The sequence below is a fragment of the Homo sapiens genome, chromosome 8 (assembly GCF_000001405.40).
Source record: "Homo sapiens chromosome 8, GRCh38.p14 Primary Assembly".
In the NCBI taxonomy this organism is placed as follows: domain Eukaryota; kingdom Metazoa; phylum Chordata; class Mammalia; order Primates; family Hominidae; genus Homo; species Homo sapiens.
In genome coordinates, this window is record NC_000008.11 from 50,431,643 (window position 1) to 50,450,346 (window position 18,704).

The following is an 18,704-nucleotide window of genomic DNA, read 5'->3' on the forward strand; positions in this document are numbered from 1 at the left end:
CCAATAAGAAATGAAAATTAACCATGAACAGTATTCTTGAAAGCATTTGGTATTGTCAGTGTTTTGGATTTTAGCCGTTTTAATAAGTGTATAATATTATCTCATTGTTATTTTAATTTGCAATTCCCCCTGACAAATGATGTTGAACATGTCTTCATAGGCTTGCTTGCTATTTGCATATCTTTTTTGATTAAGTGTTTGCTCAAATACTTCAGCCACTTTTTAATTGGGTTGTTTGTGTTCTTACTGAGTGTTATGAGTTATTTGTATATTTTGGATACAAGTCTTCTATCAGATATGTGATTTACAAATATTTTCCTCTAGTCCATAGCTTGTCTTTTTATTCTCTTAGCAGTATCTTTCACAAAGCAAAGTTATTAATTTTAATGTATTCTCATTTATCAACATTTTTATAAATCATACTTTTGGTGTTGTATCTAAAAACTCATCACTAAACCAAAAATCACATGGGTTTTCTCCTGTATTCTCTTCTAGTACTACTGTGTTTTTAATATTTAAGCCTATCTATGATACACTGTGTTAATTTTTGTGAAGAGCATAGTATACATGCCTTTTCTTCTTATGGATGTCCAATTCCTCCAGCACTGTTTGTTGGAAAAAAATATCTTTGCTTTTCTCTATTGAATTGTTTTTATTCTTTTGTCAAATATTAGTTGATTCTACTTTTTTGTTTCCTTTTTTTTTTGGCCACCTGTTCTGTACCAGTGGTCTAAATGCTTTTTCTGTCAAAAATGCCATGTTGTGTTGTGTACTAAAACTTTATAGTAAGTCCTAGGTCAAGCATCCTGAGTCCTCCAACTTTATTCTTCTTCAGTATTGTACTGGTTATTATAGGTCTTTTGGCTGTCCATCTAAACCTAAAAATTAGTTTGCTAGTATCCACAAATAGCTTGCTGGGATTTTTATTGGAATTGCATAGATTTTAAAAATCAAGTTGGAAAGGAATGACATCTTAAAAATATTGAGTCTTTCAATTCATGAATACGGTTATCTCTTCATATGTTTTGAACATATTTGTTTTTTCTCTAGATTTTTTAGTTTCATATATAAATCCTATTAGTATTATGTTAGATTTATACCAAAATATTTTTCTTTTATTTTTTATTTACATTTTATTTTTTATTTTATTTATTTATTCATTTTTTTGAGACTCTGTCTCACTCTATTGCCCAGGCTGGAGTGCAGTGGCACAGTCTCGGCTACTGCAACCTCCACCTCCCTGGTTCAAACGATTCTCCTGTCTCAGCTTCCCAAGTAGCTGGGATTACAGCGCACATCTCCATGCTCGGCTAATTTTTTCTATTTAGTAGAGATGGGGGTTTCACCATGTCGGCCAGGCTGGTCTCGAACTCCTGACCTCCAGTGATCCACCTGCCTCGGCCTCCCAAAGTGCTGGGATTACAGGCATGAGCCACTGCGCCAGGCCACAAAATATTTCCCTTTTAGTATGTGTTATTTTAAATGGCATTATGCTTTTAATTTTCAATTCCAATTTCTCATTGCTGATATGTAAGAAAGCAATTTAATTTTTATAATAATTCCATATTCTATGAACTTGCTATAATTACTTACCACTTCTAGAAGAATTTTTTTTCAATTCTTTGGGATTTTATACGTTGACAAAAAACAAAGATAGTCCTCTATTTTTGTTCATTTCATAAGCCTTTATTTCATAGTATTTCATCACTGCGCTAGCTAGAACATCAAGATATTGAATGGCAATGGTGAACAGGGATATCCTGGCCTTATTCCCAATCTTGCAGGGAAAATATTACATTTCTCCCCCTTTTTACTACATTGCACCATGAGTTTTCTGTTTTTTTTTTTTTTCATTCTAATTCTTCATTTTATCTCAGGCCTGTTGGGATAGAAAGAACAGCAGAGATCAGAGAAAACTTGGTTTCAATCACAACTTGGATCTTGGTCAAGTTAATTTCACTCTTTTACATTTTGATTTTCTCATCTGTTAATTAGAAAAACAATTTCCTACACCAGTGGGTTGCTGTGATAATTACTTAGAATAATGTTTGAATGAATATTTATTCATTTAACATTTTAATACCTAACTTTGTTTCATGACCTGTGCTAAGTGCTTGTGAGATAACTTTGTGTAAGACATAGGTCCAGCTCTCAGAAAACTTGGAGGAAAAAAGTCGAGGGCATAGTTCTCTTCAATAAACAATTCTAAGTGCTATGAGAGCTATAAGTACACATAGTAGATTTTTATTTATTTTTTATTATTATACGTTAAGTTCTAGGGTACATGTGCACAACGTGCAGGTTTGTTACATATGTATACATGTGCCATGCTGGTGTGCTGCACTGATTAACTCATCATTTACATTAGGTATATCTCCTAATGCTATCCCTCCCCCCTCCCCCTACCCCATGACAGTCCCCAGTGTGTGATGTTCCCCTTCCTGTGTCCAAGTGTTCTCATTGTTCAATTCCCACCTATGAGTGAGAACATGCGGTGTTTGGTTCTTTGTCCTTGCCATAGTTTGCTCAGAATGATGGTTTCCAGCTTTATCCATTTCCCTACAAAGGACATGAACTCATCCTTTTTTATGGCTGCATAGTATTCCATGGTATATGTGTGCCACATTTTCTTAATCCAGTCTATCATTGATGGACATTTGGGTTAGTTCCAAGTCTTTGCTATTGTGAATAGTGCCACAATAAATATACGTGTGCATGTGTCTTTATAGCAGCATGATTTATAATCCTTTGGGTAGATACTCAGTAATAGGATGGCTGAGTCAAATGGTATTTCTAGTTCTAGATCCTTGAGGAATCGCCACACTGTCTTCCACAATGTTTGAACAGTTTACAGTCCCACCAACAGTGTAAAAGTGGTCCTATTTCTCCACATCCTCTCCAGCACCTGTTGTTTCCTGACTTTTGAATGATCGCCATTCTAACTGGTGTGAGATGGTATATCATTGTGGTTTTGATTTTCATCTCTCTGATGGCCAGTGATGATGAGCATTTATTCATGTGTCTGTTGGCTGCATAAATGTCATCTTTTGAGAAATGTCTGTTCATATGTACACATAGTAGATTTTTAATAATTAGAGGCCATCATCCTCATTATTCCTTTTCCAACTTCAGCTACTCTTCCTCAGTTGTCAAAAAGAACTATTAACATTCTCTATTTTCTTTCCATTATTGTTCTACAAACAATAATGTATTGGTTTCTGTAACACAAAATTAATACAAACAATTTTCCAATGATAATCTCTTTAGTTTCTGCATGATTTCCACTTCTTCCTAACTTTTTTCCATACAAATCTCAAAATTTCAATACCTGAGATATGTGATGCCAACTTTTTTTTGGTGTCATGTATATTTTTCTTCCAATATAGTTCATACAATCTTTCTCTATATGCAACTTATAATATAATATTCCAAAAAGCAGGGATGATAGTTATATTTTTCTACAAAGCATACTAAGTATTTAATACAAGGCTTTTTTTGTAACATTGATGTTGATTATTTAAGTGTGCAGCAAGTCTTTATACAGTCCGATATTAATCTTGGGCTCAATCCTTTGCATTTTTGTAACGAAAAAGAAGATTAAATAAAGGCATTATATATATATGAAACTGTATAGGAGCATCAGCCTGGATTTTGTGTTTTACAAAATAAAATCACTGACAATACTTTGGTCTCCCAAAGGACGGTGCTTTGTTACCTGGCAACAGTCTTTACGACACTCATGATGTGTTAACTAAATATACTTTCAGATCAGCTTCCAGATATTGTCTGATTTATGAGCTGAGTATTTGAAATGGTTCATTTCTTCTTTTTATTACGTCTATTTTGGGAGGAGGAAAGAAGCAGAGGTGTAAGGGGATAAAGTGGCAGAGCTACCGCAAACACAAACAACTGGGAATATATTAGCAGAGGCCACACCAAGAACAGTTATTTCCCTTTTCATGCTTCCTGCTGCCTGCAGTGACCAATGTGCAATCTTGGTTTTAAAACACTAAGTAACTTGTTTTGCCTTGTCTCTCCTAACTTTCTTAAAAGTAAGCTAATGAAGAAGCAGCATCTGGAGACACTGGCTATAATTTGCATGTTGTGTGTGTGCCCAGGTGTTTAATAAAACATTAAGATAAGTGCTGTTTTTGAGATTCTTTTGGTGGTTTCTGCTGACTCTTTAGTCTCTCCAAAATCTTTTCTGCATCAGCAGTTTTGTATTTGATTTGGAACATGTTCTAAATATTCTCCACCAGAGATTAGAGAGTGGGCTTGTAGAGCATGAGTAAAGAAGTTCAAAGAAACGGTTTTTGAGGACCCTGCGATGCTTGTTGTTTCTGTCAAAGGAAAGCAGCACTTCAGTATGCATTTAGCTATTGAGCAGCAATTACTGACCGAGTTTTCCTCATGGCCAATTATTGCTAGGCAAAACGCTCTACAAAATTTAGGGGATGGCATTTGCTGCTTAAAATGCATTTGCTCTGACTGAAATTTGTATTTTAAGACAACTGATATGGGTTGTCTGGATGACTGCACCACTGATTTTGATACTGTTTTAAGGAATCACATATTTACTTTTTACAGAAAAGGAAAAAAGAAATAGTTCCTGTCATACAAGAATTTTAGTTTAGTTGGGTTGTCAGTTTTATAAAAGCAGTTTACCTATCTATTTTGTAGGAAAAATAGTCACGATTTAATTCACCTATTCCTGAATCTTAGTCTTCCAGTATTTGAGTTATTCTATGATGTAAATATATTAAAATGACTATTACATAAGAATCCCTATATAGGATATCAGATTGTGTGTGTGTGCGTGCATGTGTGTGTGTAAATACTAAATTTCTACTCTATGCCAGGGTCTTTTACAAATGTTAATTCTCAAGACAAAGCTTTTAATTGCTATGTATTATTTATAAGCATTTTCCAAATTTGAAAACAGAGGCTTATAAGTAATTTGCTGAATGGATGAAGTTGTATGAAGCTGTAGCTATTAGCATCATTGGCACATTGTCTAACTTCAATTCCAGTATTGTTTGCAATATTCAACTTCTCTTTAATGAACCATTTAATGAGAAATAACAAATATTAATTAATTATTCGACAGATTGCATTTCTCCTTTTCAATAAAAAGACATTTCTAATACATAGTTTATTTTAAATTATTAATAGATTTTGTGTACTTATAATGCACATGTTTAACCTTCCTTTTTGCTTTTGTATATGCAGCCCTGTTTATATGTGTAGGTTTTGCGATATAAATTCTAAAATATATCTTCCCGTATTTGTGGTTGCATTCCTGGGGTAATGCAACAAACAGTATGCTGAAAAATAAAAACAGACTTTGTGGTAGTATTTAATACAAATAGTTCATCTTATATTTCAAGTTGCTTTGCATAAATTGTTATACACATAGAAACTTATTTGTACAATTATAATTTTAATGTTGGTTTGAAAGTATGATTGGATGACAGATTATAAGAGTAACATAAGTATTTTTGAAATAGATGAAATTACTCAGCACATTGTCAAAATAAAGAAAATTTATTTTATCGAATGCTACTCATTTGCATTCAATAGTAATAATAATAATTTCTAAGTAAATATGCACCATCTTCATCAAAAAGTCTTATTTTCAAAATTCAAAATAAATCAATAATAGTATACCTCAAATTCTGGTATGGCAATCTTGTTCTTTAAGTATTATTTTGTTCTATTTATAGAAACCAAACTTTTGGCTAAACAAGGAAGTTTTTAACCTTGCCAAAATGAAGAGTCTTATGCTATCTTAAAATATTTAGCAAGAGCCACCAGAAGCACACATTTTTCCAATTTTCACTAGTTCTTTTAAAATAATATTATCTGTTCCACACAGTTTCCGCAGAACAAGAGAATGAGGGAAGCAATTCATCTGTAAGAAAGAGGGCAGTATTTACATTTGGAAATGGATAATGTGGGCAAAAGGTATTTGTAGAGATATAGGGACCAGATAACAAATATCTACCCCAGATGCAGGGGAAAAGGGTCAGTGTCTCAAATGATTCTGCATAGGGGAATGTTCAAAAAGATTGATGTAATGGAGCAAGCTATAAGTTAAAGCGTTCAGCCCTATAGCATGCCTCCGCAGTAAGCACTATGTAAAGATGACTGCCCAAAATCAGAGCAGTATCGATTTTTCAAATTGAAAATTACAGGATTTGTCTAAATGTAGCTCTTTGTTCTCATGCCATCATCTTTGTGATTTTGAAGTTTTATAGGCCAGTGATTGAATTACTTCTATTGTGGAGAGAAAAAGAAACTGATTGTTAAAGTTGATAATTCAATTATCATTATTACTTAGATGTGTAATTTATTCATTTTATGAACAAGCAATTAGTTTATTTTGGACTTGGTTTATTCACTTTCAATCTAAAACACACACATGTAGCATTTCTGTGCTGGCCACGGCAGCCTCCCAGCTTAGCTCCCGAATTCCAGGCAGGGATGGAGACAGGGCCATGGTTTACCAGGATCATATTTACCATTGCCTCTGAGTTACTTTTATATAACCTAAAACTTATCATTTCTTAGAAAATAAGAATACGTAATGTGGAAATAAGAAGAGGTATAAAAGTTAAGATTCCAAAATATGTCCAAAATAATCATTGAGAAGAACTTATTTTTAAGAGTTTAGGAGTTTATAACGCTTCAGTCCCTGTTATTTTAACAAGTAACCCTTTGATTTAAAAGTCAAAGACTATTTATTACAAGATGTGGAGGCACTATCCCAGCACAGAAGAGTTCTCTTTTGTTTTAAAGAGCAAAAGCAAAACCCAGAAGAAAACCAAAAAAACAACAAAAAATGGTGTGTAAGTATAGTATTAGGAAACACTAACCATTCTTAAAAATCCTGTCTTTCAGGAAAGAACGGTGACCATCAGAAGACAAACAGTAGGAGGATTTGGATTAAGCATAAAGGTAGCCTGCCTTTCTAGTCTATCCTTACAAAGGCCATGCCATAAGAGCTGAACTTTGGTGCATTTCAATGTTTGCTGATTAATAATTAGACAAGGATGGCTATAGCAAACTCCTTAATATTTGGACGGGGATGTAAATTAGGTAGGTTCTCACAGAATTCCTGCAAACTCTTACCATTTGATTTAGAAAGTTTAGCAAAGAATATGGGAATTTACCTTATGATTGAATTTAACTCATTAACTTTCTTTGTCTGGTTTTTCTGAAATGTTAAATATGATGTCGTGTGCATATCTTTCTTTAACCAACTGGAGTAGGAAATGATGATCTGCAGTAAATAGAACAATAACAAGTTTCACACTAATAAAGCCCAATAGTAAGTGAGATATTGTATTCTGTTCATCTTGTTTATTTTTCATTTTTAAAAAAGAAATCAGTAAATTTAATTGTATAGTGCTAATCATATAGGATAGACTTAAAGTCTTTGCATATGCTTTATTTTAAAAGTGAACATATGTGTTCATTTAAATTTATTATCAAATTTTAAAGGCCTTTATTTTGTATATTATTGACTATTAGAGATGTACCATATCTGCAATTTATTATCATTGAAATAAAGGATAAATTTTTAAAGCATAGGAAATTATGTAAATATTGAAGAGTTAATCTCATGACTGCAATGCCTTTGTCAAACCTACATCTCTTCATAGATAAATGAAGTTTAACTTTATAATTATTGGGTTAGTTATTTGACTTATATAGGGTGAAAATAATTTATATATTTCAAGTACACATTGCTTGAAATTTCAACACAACTCATGTCATATATTTATGGAAAGCAGAACTCTAAATTTTGTGAACATCAGCTCTAGTTGACTTTGTGAAAATGACTCAGAGTAGAAATCAGTATGCAATAGCGTTGTATTGTCAGTGATAAGAAAAGAATATTGCTATAAAGAGCACTAGCTTCAAAACATATTTTGTACATTCAGTTTATCAAAGTGAAACTTTATCTTATCACCAACTAAGACCAGGGAGGCATGCAGAACAGATTATAGGATGTGCAATGTATTCTATGAGAATTTAATCACTCAATAAATGAGATTTTTTTTTGTTTTGCTTTTTTTTTTTTTTTTTTGGCCAGGCTGTTTATTGAGATTGCTGTAAAGAATTTAAAAGTACCACTAAAGATACTAGAAAATCCATGAATAAAATCCAATAGTGAGAGCTGATTTCATCTGAAATCATCATTTTTACTGAACCAGGCACTAACTCTATTTCTGGTAGTAGAGCTTCCATTAATTTTGTGTCACCTAGAAATGTTCTTTTCCTTTTTTTGTTGTTTTTCGTATTTTAAATTTAAACCCAATAATGCAATGCTATCTATTTTTACTAAAATGCCACATTTTAACCTAGTTTTTAAAGCATCAATAATTTTTCTAAATAAAGCTTTTCATTTTAATATTTTCATTATTTCAATCCAATCAAAACTATTGTATATATAATAAATAGAATATTTTTTGAATTAAATAAGTATGAATTTTCCATTCAATTATTGACCAAAAAGTGGTATTTGAGCTATGATCAATATCTTATATTAGAGTTAACAAAAAAGAACTTTTTGCAAAATTCTTATGACACACTCTGACAAGAAATACAAACATCAAGACTTTTATTTAGAATATTACTCATTCATCCTAAAGAAATTCCTTTTATGGTTTTTTATTTTTACTTTCTCATACTTACCTCTGAACTTCATTTTTCTATTTTTTAAACTATCTTTTATTGTGATTATTTAGATCAAAATATGATTCTTTCTTTTAACTAGCAGTGTTATTACAAAAATCTCTTTCCCTGTCATATATGAGTTGAATAAACTACTGTGTTTATTTGTTAGCACTATTTTCCTTAGATCTGAGAATTTAAAAAAATGTATAAACTTTTTTAAAAATATCATTCTAGGCTAGAAGCAGAATTAGTATTTTAATGTTGAACTATTTATTTACAGTTTTCAGGAGCAATTTGAGCCACTAATAAAAGTATGCATATAAATACATAAACGCATATCTTACCACTATTTGCTTCAGTTAAGTAATCCTCAGCGGCACACACCGGAAAGACTCGTGGTGAGAATTATTAATTAAAACCTTTATGGTCTTGACTTAAGATGACAGAAGGAAGATGGTATGTTAGACAACTGAAAAGCCATTTACCAATGTAGTTAAGACTCCTACAGGTGCTTGTGAATTCCGCTGGACTCAGAACACATGGTATTTTAGTTTTATGTTAAAAACACATTCTTTAAAAAAGAAAAAAACTTGGTTAAAGGGTAATGAATGTCCTTTTTAGACAGAATTCAGTCAAATGCTCTAACATGTGCTGCTAGAAGTCAAAGCCAGCTGGCCATGCCCTACACTCTTGACAGATCTTGGCTTGGGGACTTTCCTGTCACAGTCACCACTGTGCAGCATGGTAATTCCTCACATCTCCCCACAAACTGGACAAGGACAGTGTGGTGGGGCTTCTTATGTAGGTCTGAGTCCATTGTTTTGTTGATTAATATGTCTCAGCGGCTGTGGGCTGTGGGCAACATGAAGTCTCTGTAGCTACCAGTGTCCACAAATCCTTGATGTCTGCTGCTCATGTGCAATATTGCTGTCTCTCTCAAGCCCTGTCTCCAGCCAGGGTACCTTGTAGGGTACAAGTTGGTGGGAAAATAAAAGTTAGCCTTTACCTTCATTTTTCTTCTTTACCTTATATAAGACATTGTACAAACTTCTGGGACAAAACGTGCAGGTGGCTTGGAGGTTGAGGCAGTTCAGTGTCCCTACGGCTTAATTCTAGGACTTTAACTCTTCCCTTGATGTACTAATGCTAGATATGATGCAGACCACATTGAGGAGGGTTCCTATGTCAAAAATTCCTGAAATCCCAAAGAATAAGAGAAAAATATATATTTAGTAGAAATGAAAGGAATATTGAAACAGCTTTACATTTTAAAAATATGACTTAAGTAAGTCCGAATCCTTTTTCTTTTCAAATTTTGTCTAGTTTTCTTTCCATTATTCCTTAATTTTTCTCTTTAAATTTTTTGAAGCACATTCTTTGGAGTTTCTTACCAAATCTGAGCCTGTCCTTGGAAAGTCATACTTACCATTTCTTCAAATCATCTCCAAAAATGCTAGACACTCAGTTTGAAACAAAGCCACCCAAAAAGAGTTCTGACATCAATTACATTGAGATTTAGGGTAGGAATTACTGATTTATCTTCATGGACTTATTTGTCCTTTAGATTCCTAAACTCCTATTGTTTTATAACAGGAATGTTTTACCATTAAAAGGTAAAGACCAAAATTGCCTGTTTCTCCATGTTAATTCTAAATAATAAGAAAAAAAAAGCAAAAGTAAAGCCCGAAATGACGTATGAGCACAATGTCCAGCTTTAGCGCATGCTGCACATGGAAAAGCAGATGCCTTGACCAGGGAGGTGCCACACACAGGCTGACACTCTCGCATCCCCATCTCCCAGTTTTGATGAACTATTTGCACTCAGCTCCTAAAGTGAAAAGAAATCCTTTTTAACCTCTGGGGAGAATGTCCCTTCCTGGTTGTGCTACTTTCTCTGCTTTCTTGTCTCATTCTACAGTTATTCTTTCATTGCTGTTTAGCAACTGTAGAAGGATCAAATGAGTAACTGAGCCATAATATAATGAGATGAAATTTGGAGTCATGACACACATTTGCACCGGTCCCTCCACTGTCTTTAAGTGAAGCAAATCCCTACTTTAGAGCCTGGAAGGAGACAGCCATGCCTCCTTCCTCTCTTATTAGAACCCTTCTAGGGCTTTATGCACCTGGCTCACTCCTGCTCCCAGCCCTCCAGGCATCCTTGCTTATCCAAGATATTCTTTCTCTCAGGTTGCCTTTCAGAGGCATCCTCACTCCTGCTGTAACTTTTGGGATTTTTTGACAGTGATTTAGATTTCTTCCTGCCTGTTATTATTTAATTTTCCTTTGTTAAAACATCTCTCAGAAATCACATACTTGTGTGCCTTTTTTTCTTTGTATTAATTTGTCTATCAGTAAAAAAAAAAAAAAAAAAAAAAAAAAATCAAGCTCTTCAGTTTACTTTTCACAAAAATTTCAACAAAAAGCCCTATCTGGGCTTCCCCCAAAGCTGGACAAAAGAACCACTAAACTTTCAACTCATAATCACATAGTCTGCTGCCTGTTCTCAGGCAGAAACTGCTCCTTTGAAGCGGGCAGATTCAGCAGGCTAGTGGCATCCTGCACATGGCCTCGGGCCTGGCTGCTTTTCCCTGCTTGCAGCACCATTTCTACTGGCATTTCCTGGTTCTTCTCCCAGCCCCACCAACTCTTGTCTCCTTCCCCTCTCAAGTGCCCATCCTCTGGGCTGGACCATGCAGAGACTTGGCATTTATATAAATAACTTTAATAGTTTCCTCAACTACATCTGCAGAAATCACCAAATTTCTGCATCGTAGGATCCAATATTATTGTATTTTGCCTTATTCTTCCTATCGGGATTACCATAGGGATAGTCATGTTAAAGCAAGCCATCGTCTTGCCCTTGTGAGGCTTTATTTATCTCTCATATCTTTTAAAATTCAATACTATCTAGCTGCACATTATTAAATTATACTTCTGTTCATTGTCATTTAAAAATTTACCTTTGAGGGAAAGGATGTTTTAAATGTTATTACTATAAATATATTTTATGCAGTATTTTCCAACAGACACAATTTTCTTATGAAAATAATAAATTATCTATGTCCATTAAATAAATGTATGCAATCAAAGGTGATTTCTATTTGGAAGATTTAACACTACAGCAGTAAAAAATAGAATTATAATCATTATTACTCTTAATCATCTTCTCATTTCTAAATAATTGCTAATATTTATGCCCCACTTATTAAGTGCCAGTTTCTGAGCTAAATACTTCATATTTAGTTCAATTTGCCTTTATTATCCAGTGGAGTAGATAACTATTGTTATACCTTCCACAGACAATGAGATTAAGTGTCAAGAGGTTAAGTAATTCATCAATTGTTATAAGCAGTAGAGTTGGACCTCAGTCCCCCTAGAAGCCGATGACAAAGTCCTTACTCTTAATAACTATGCTTAGAACTATAAAACCTGAAATAAATTACCTCAAAACTCTCTACTCAGGGACATAGATCATGTTTCCTCTCTATGCTGTTTACTTTCTGGTTTATTTAAAACTGAAATAAGACCAGGCACGGTGGCTCATGCCTGTAATCCCAGGACTTTAGGAGGCCAAGGCAGGCGGATCATTTGAGGTCAGGAGCTTGAGACCAGCTTGACCAACATGGTGAAACTCTGTCTCTACTAAAAATAAAAAAAAAAATTATCTGGGCATGGTGGCACATGCCTGTAGTCTCAGCTACTTGGGAGGCTGAGACAGGAGAATCACTTGAACCGGGGAGGCAGAGGTCGCAGTGAGCTGAGATCACGCCTCTGCATTCCAGCCTGGGTGACACAGTGAGTCTCTGTTTCAAAAAAAATTACAATAAAATAAAATAAAACAAAACTGAAATAAATGTGTAGCTCAAGTAAGCAATTTTGTAAGATAAAGGGTTGAGTACTAGTCGTTTCAAATTTTCCAAATAAAATATATATATTAGTTGTAATAAATGTATGCCTTTTAACTTATTAGTGGTATCTGGGCAAAAATATTTAAATAACAACCATTGCTATAAGTGCATGGACGTGCTTGCATACATTTTTCTGCATTCTGCTTCCCCTGCCATTTTTACTCAAGTCTGATTCACTTGTTTTCACTCTAGACAAAATGAATATGTCCATTTCCATCATAAAAGTAGATAACAGGGACAGGCACAGGGCTCACACTTGTAATCCCAACATTTTGGGAAGCCAAGGCGGGTGGATCACAAGGTCAAGAGATTAAGACCATCCTGGCCAACATGGTGAAACTCCAACTCTACTAAAAATACAAAAATTATCCAGGCGTGGTGGCACACACCTGTAGTCCCAGCTATTCTGGAGGCTGAGGCAGGAAAATCGCTTGAACCTGGGAGGCAGAGGTTGCAGTGAGCCAAGATTGTGCCACTGCACTCCAGCCTGGGCGACAGAGCAAGACTCCATCTCAGAAAAAAAAAAAAAAAAGAAAGAGATAACAAGCATACAGTAAAGCTTAAATTGAGGGTTATGGATTAGTCCCAAAAATGAGTTGAAACCACTGGTCAATTATCATTTCAAAGACCATTACATTTTTTTTCATTACATAGCTTTATTGAGGTATAATTCCAATACCATACAATTTACCCATTTAAAGTGTACAATTAAATTGTTTTTAGTATATCCGCAGATCTTTGCAAGTATCACGGCAGTCAATTTTAGAACATTCTATCACTTCCAGAAGAAATCTCATATTTATTCATCACCCTTTTATCCCCTATCTCCCCTCTTTCAAACCTGAGCAATGACCATTTCCCTATTTTAGACTTTCATATGAAGGTAATCATATAGCATGTGAGAAAGACAATTATTTTTTGCCAAAATCAAACGAAGTATGTTGGCAGGTAACGATAGCATCCAGAAGGATGATGGCACATGCCCGTATTCCTCCAGGTGATATTCCTTTACTTGCCTCTTCTGTAGTTGTCCATTGCAGCTCTTAACTCTAATTACTGTTATTCTGTTTACAAGTAGTTTCCTTTCTCTAAAAGGAAAAATAGTGGTTAGCTCTATGCATCTTCCCTGCACCCCCATGCCCATAATATGATTGATTGATTAATTGATTGGAGTAATAATAATATTGAACTGAAAAGATTACTTGGCAAGACTCCTGATGCTCTAAAAGCATTCCAGGTTTTATTTGGTGGTATTTCACAGTAATGCTAGTAAAACCGTTGTGTAGAGTCATTCTCAAAATGCTTTAGATGGAATTATACATCCTTCTTCCTACAGAGCTAGCTATAAAATCCACTATGCTTTGTAAAAAGATTATCACAAAGCTGAACGATGTATGTGCGAACATTACCTGGGCTGTGCTTTAGAACACTGCCTTCCTTTTCCTAATCTTGTATTTCTCCATAAACTACAATAACAATGCTCAGTTAATTCAAGCATTCTCTAAACCACAGTCATGAGCCACAGTCCCGCCCAGGAGTGCCTTGGGGAGAAGATGGTGATGAAAGCCTTGCCTGGACCTCAGGCCATTTATACTTCAGTAGGAAAGTAGACTTTGATCAAATTGTTACCAGAATAAATGTAAATCACAGGCATGATCCAGTGCTACATAAGTGTATTATTTCAAGTAAGGAGACACTAAAGGAGGGGGCTTTAAGCCAAAATTTCAAAAATGAACAGTTTCCAGGTTAGGAGGGAAGGAGGAGCATAACTGGCCAGACAACAGTGCATGCTGACATCCTTCAGGTTCAGGGCGATGGAGGTCCAGGAGCTACACTGGAAGAGAGGCAGTTTAAAGGTTCTCATTATTATTCAACTGTCATGGAAGCCTATCACCTGTTTTAAACAAGCCACATGATTTGATTATTGACTGGAAAACCTTACATTTCCCCATTTAGGCCCTGCACTAAATCTAATTAACTGTAGCAGCTGAGCTGCTCACATTTTCTCCAGTAATGAAGGCAGCGTGATTTTGAGTTCCAATTTTATCTTCTGAGTTTTGTCTTAAAATTCAGTAATTACTGAAGTCATTTTCAGAAATTAGTTTAAAAAGTACATCAGAGCTCCAAATGTCTAATTTAAAAGCAAAAAAAAAAAACAGGCCAGGTGCAGTGGCTCGTGCCTGTAATCCCAGCATTTTGGGAGGTCAAGGTGGGCGGATCACCTGAGGTCAGGGAGGGGTTCAAGACCAGCCTGGCCAACGTGTTGAAATCCCATCTCTACAAAAATACCAAAATTAGCTGGGCATGATGGTGAGTGGCTGTAATCCCAGCTACTTAGGAGGCTGAGACAGGAGAATCACCTGAACTGGGAAGTGGAGGTTGCAATGAGTCAAGATCATGCCATTGCACTCCAGCCTGTGAACAGAGCGAGACTCCCTCTCAAAAAAATAAAATAAAAACAGAAAACCAAAAACCATGTTTGGATTCAAACCATTCAAATTTCAGGATAAATTTTACATATAAGAGAAAAACTGTGGTAAAATAAGTGTTACATTTTGCATTTCAAAGATGGTTACAATAGTCTCCACTTAACCTTGGGAGATGCATTCCAAGACCCCAGTAGTTGCCCGAAACTGCAGACAGTATTGAATCTTACACTGCATATAACATATTTGCTTACATATGCAAATTCATGATAAAGTTTAATTTATAAATTAGCATAGTAAAATATTAACAATAACTAATAATAAAATGGAATTATAATAATACACTGTAATAAAAGTTATGTGAATGTGCTTCCTTTCTCTCACAAAATGTTGTATTGTACTGTACCCTGGATAACTGAAACCACAGAAAGTGAAACACAAATAAGCAGGGGATTGCTGTACAAGTCTGGGTGTTGAGGAAAGAATGGGATTATTGAGTCAACCCTCAGAAAAACTCTATCTCAAAAGCCTTTTCTCTGGACACCAAGAATAGGTTTCCCAATGTCTTGCCATGGTAATTTGCATTAATAGTCTATGCATTTAAAAAAAATGGGTTCAGTAGCAGAATAAGAGAAAAGGGTGAAATGCAAAAACAGCTGAAGGAAAATACTCTGATAACAGCCTCACTGAGGAGACCAGCAAAATCATTGTTGTTCCCTGTCCCAAAATATCTGAATCACAATATCTGGATGATTGTTTCATGGTTTAATTCTACCTAAAAGTTCATCAGTTAATGATTCATTTGAGTTAACCAGCTTTTTCCTTCTAAGAAACATAGATGCATCCTTAACATCCTTTCTAATTTCCAAGTGTCTCTAGAGGCTATCAGTGACCTTACGCTGGGCCTGGAAAAGCCGTAGACTTCATTCATTCATTCATTCATTCAACTCAACAAACATGTCAAAGATAGACCAGACATTATTCCAGGCACTGGGTTTACATCGATGCACAAAACAAACTACCAAAAAATGTCTGCACCCTGAAGAAATGTGCATTTTAGTTAGGAATGGGAAGAAGAAAGAAAACAATAAGTGTGAGAAATGAAAAAATAACATGTTAGACACTGATAACTGTAATGGGACAAAATAGAACAGATAAAAGGGGATTGGGAATTTGGAGTTCTAACTCATAAATATTAAGGGTCTTAGAAGGGATTAGTCCTAATCTTATTTACCACTTTAATGCTATGTGAGTTTCCTCATAAATCTTAATACATGGGCTGTGTTAGCATAATAGCCTTCCTTTATTCAGTGTTTACTGTGTGCTAAATAAGCACTTGATTTCCACCACACTGTCAGCCACAAATCACTATCTCTGTTCAGGTCAGAGGCAGGGTCATCTTAGACACAGTCTGTGTTTGTTAGGGACACACAGACCAAAAAGCAGAACAAGTGGGAGCCATTGTAACCTACGCCAGTAACTTCCCCCACAGAGCTGAGGGGTGCGGTGCATGAATATTAGGTTGCTGTGAAATAGTGAGGAAAAGGGAACTGAGCAGTGGGTTTGAAATTCAGTGAGTAGGACAGTTTTCATTACCTTAATTATCATATTTCTTCTTAATATTCTGGAATTAGAAAGGACTCTACTTGCCAAAAAAAAAAATTCAATATTCCTGCTTTTCTAAAAAACTATTGACTATTTTATATTTAAGTATACTGGCAATTCAGTGTTAAAAATGGGCATGCAAGGGAAAAAAGAATATCTCTTCCAAAATAATTTTTTATACTTGAAACAAAAGCTTAGGTGGTTTACATATTCTGAAGATAGAACAACCTCAATGGAATTCAGATTGTCTTTTCAACTAGGCTGTGTTACAAGTTCTATGCTTCTTTTTATATATGACATTTTATTCTTTTATGTACTGATTTCATTTCTCTACTACTGCTTTTAACCTTCTCAACTCTGTAATACAGAAATGGGATTCTTTTTCCGTTTTTAAGGATTTATTTTATTTTCTTTCACATAAGTTTAGCTTACTTGTCTTTCTTTTTTCATATCTCATTTAGTCAACTAATAAATAGTACTACTGCAGGCCGGGTGCGGTGACTCACCCCTGTAATCCCAGCACTTTGGGATGCCGAGGCAGTTGGATCACGAGGTCAGGAGATGGAAACTATCCTGGCTAACATGGTGAAACCCCGTCTCTACTAAAAATACAAAAATTAGCTGGGCATGGCGCACCTGTAGTCCCAGCTACTCGGGAGGCTGAGGCAGGAGGATGGCGTGAACCCGGCAGGTGGAGGTTGCAGTGAGCCAAGATCGCGCCATGGCACTCCAGCCTGGGCAACAGAGCGAGTCTCCTCCGTCTCAAAAAATAAAATAAATAAATACATAAATAAATAAATAATAAAAATAGTACTACTTCAATATTCTTGGCAGTATGTTTTACTCTGCAAATTGTTTAGTATGTGCTTTCACACAAGGAGGAATTCAATACTAAGGAAGGAAATGCAGATGAATCCCTCATTTTTCATGCATATGTGCATTCTGATTTTGTTTATCCATTTGTTCTGGTAAAGGTCTCTCTACTTCCTTGGTATCCCAACGGGTCACTGCACCACCAAAAGCCCTTAGCTGCCAGCACAGAATAACTTAGCAGGATAACAGTAATATATAATTATCTGGTGTTTGGAATCCTAAATAAGAATTTCTATTGGATAGCATTGCTACACATTGAGGAGAATGCCTATCTAAATACATAATCAATATTTGTTGATAAATGAAAACTTTCAAAGCCAATTGTTATTATTGGATGTCTCAGCAAAATTCTAAACAGGTAGATAATTTTCATGGGAGCACTATCTACTTAGAGGAGAAATTCCACAAGTTTATTTAAATTCTGCCTAATATCCACTTAACATTCCCTTCAGAGCCTGTATGGTTTCTTAGCTAAAAGCAGCATTTTTTTTAGATTAAAAAGTACAATATATGATTTTCTCTTTTCAGGGAGGAGCAGAACATAACATTCCAGTTGTCGTTTCAAAAATCTCCAAGGAACAAAGAGGTAATATGTTTAGAGAATTGTGTACCAGCCATTTCTTTAAGGCATTGTTTTTGAAGTGTGAGATGATATTCAAGAATCCTAAATTACAATGTGATTGACTGGCTCCAGCTTCCCCACCTTCAGGCATTAGTGGCTGAGTCTGCTTCCTGGGTCCTTGCCCTTTATCCTCCTGTGGGAGAGGACTTCTCTCACAGAAGGGGAACAAGGCTGAAAGATAGGAACCCTTGAAAGCAGGTATGAGTTAGGGACTACACAGCTTTTCAGTTGTTTCATTAAACCAACAAAGATACAAAACTAATGATAACAAGTCCCATCAAGTAAAGACAATTTCAAGTGTCTGTTTTTCAGTTCTCATTTGCAATTTTACTCAGCTAACCATTCATAAGAAACTGTAGGAAAAATAATGGAGATATAAAGCAGATGTTGCAAGAACTGAAATTAGTAAAACAATGTAATGTTTAAAAATGAACTTGGAGCCAATTCCATAGCTGACGGATTGAATGTCTATGTCTTAAACATTTTCACAGAGACCTAATAATCTTAAGTGCGTGAGAAAATGTGGTCTTTTACCCTTAGAAGAGTGGCTCATTTTTAGCAACTGTTAGGTCTGCAATAGTAAAA

At 35.1% G+C, this 18,704-nt stretch overlaps 1 protein-coding gene across 21 annotated transcripts in view; it reads left to right on the forward strand.

Moving 5' to 3' along the window:
- SNTG1 (syntrophin gamma 1) overlaps positions 1-18,704 on the forward strand; it is an 886,897-nt gene that overhangs the window by 521,847 nt on the left and 346,346 nt on the right. For all 21 annotated transcript variants that reach the window (NR_135796.2, NR_135795.2, NR_135797.2 and 18 more), the window contains 2 exons: positions 6,901-6,957; positions 18,026-18,083. Coding sequence is in view for 16 of the 21 variants with exons in the window: in NM_001287813.3 (NP_001274742.1) it covers positions 6,901-6,957; positions 18,026-18,083 (115 nt within the window). In the remaining 5 variants the exon portion in view is untranslated. The remainder of the gene's footprint in view (positions 1-6,900; positions 6,958-18,025; positions 18,084-18,704) is intronic.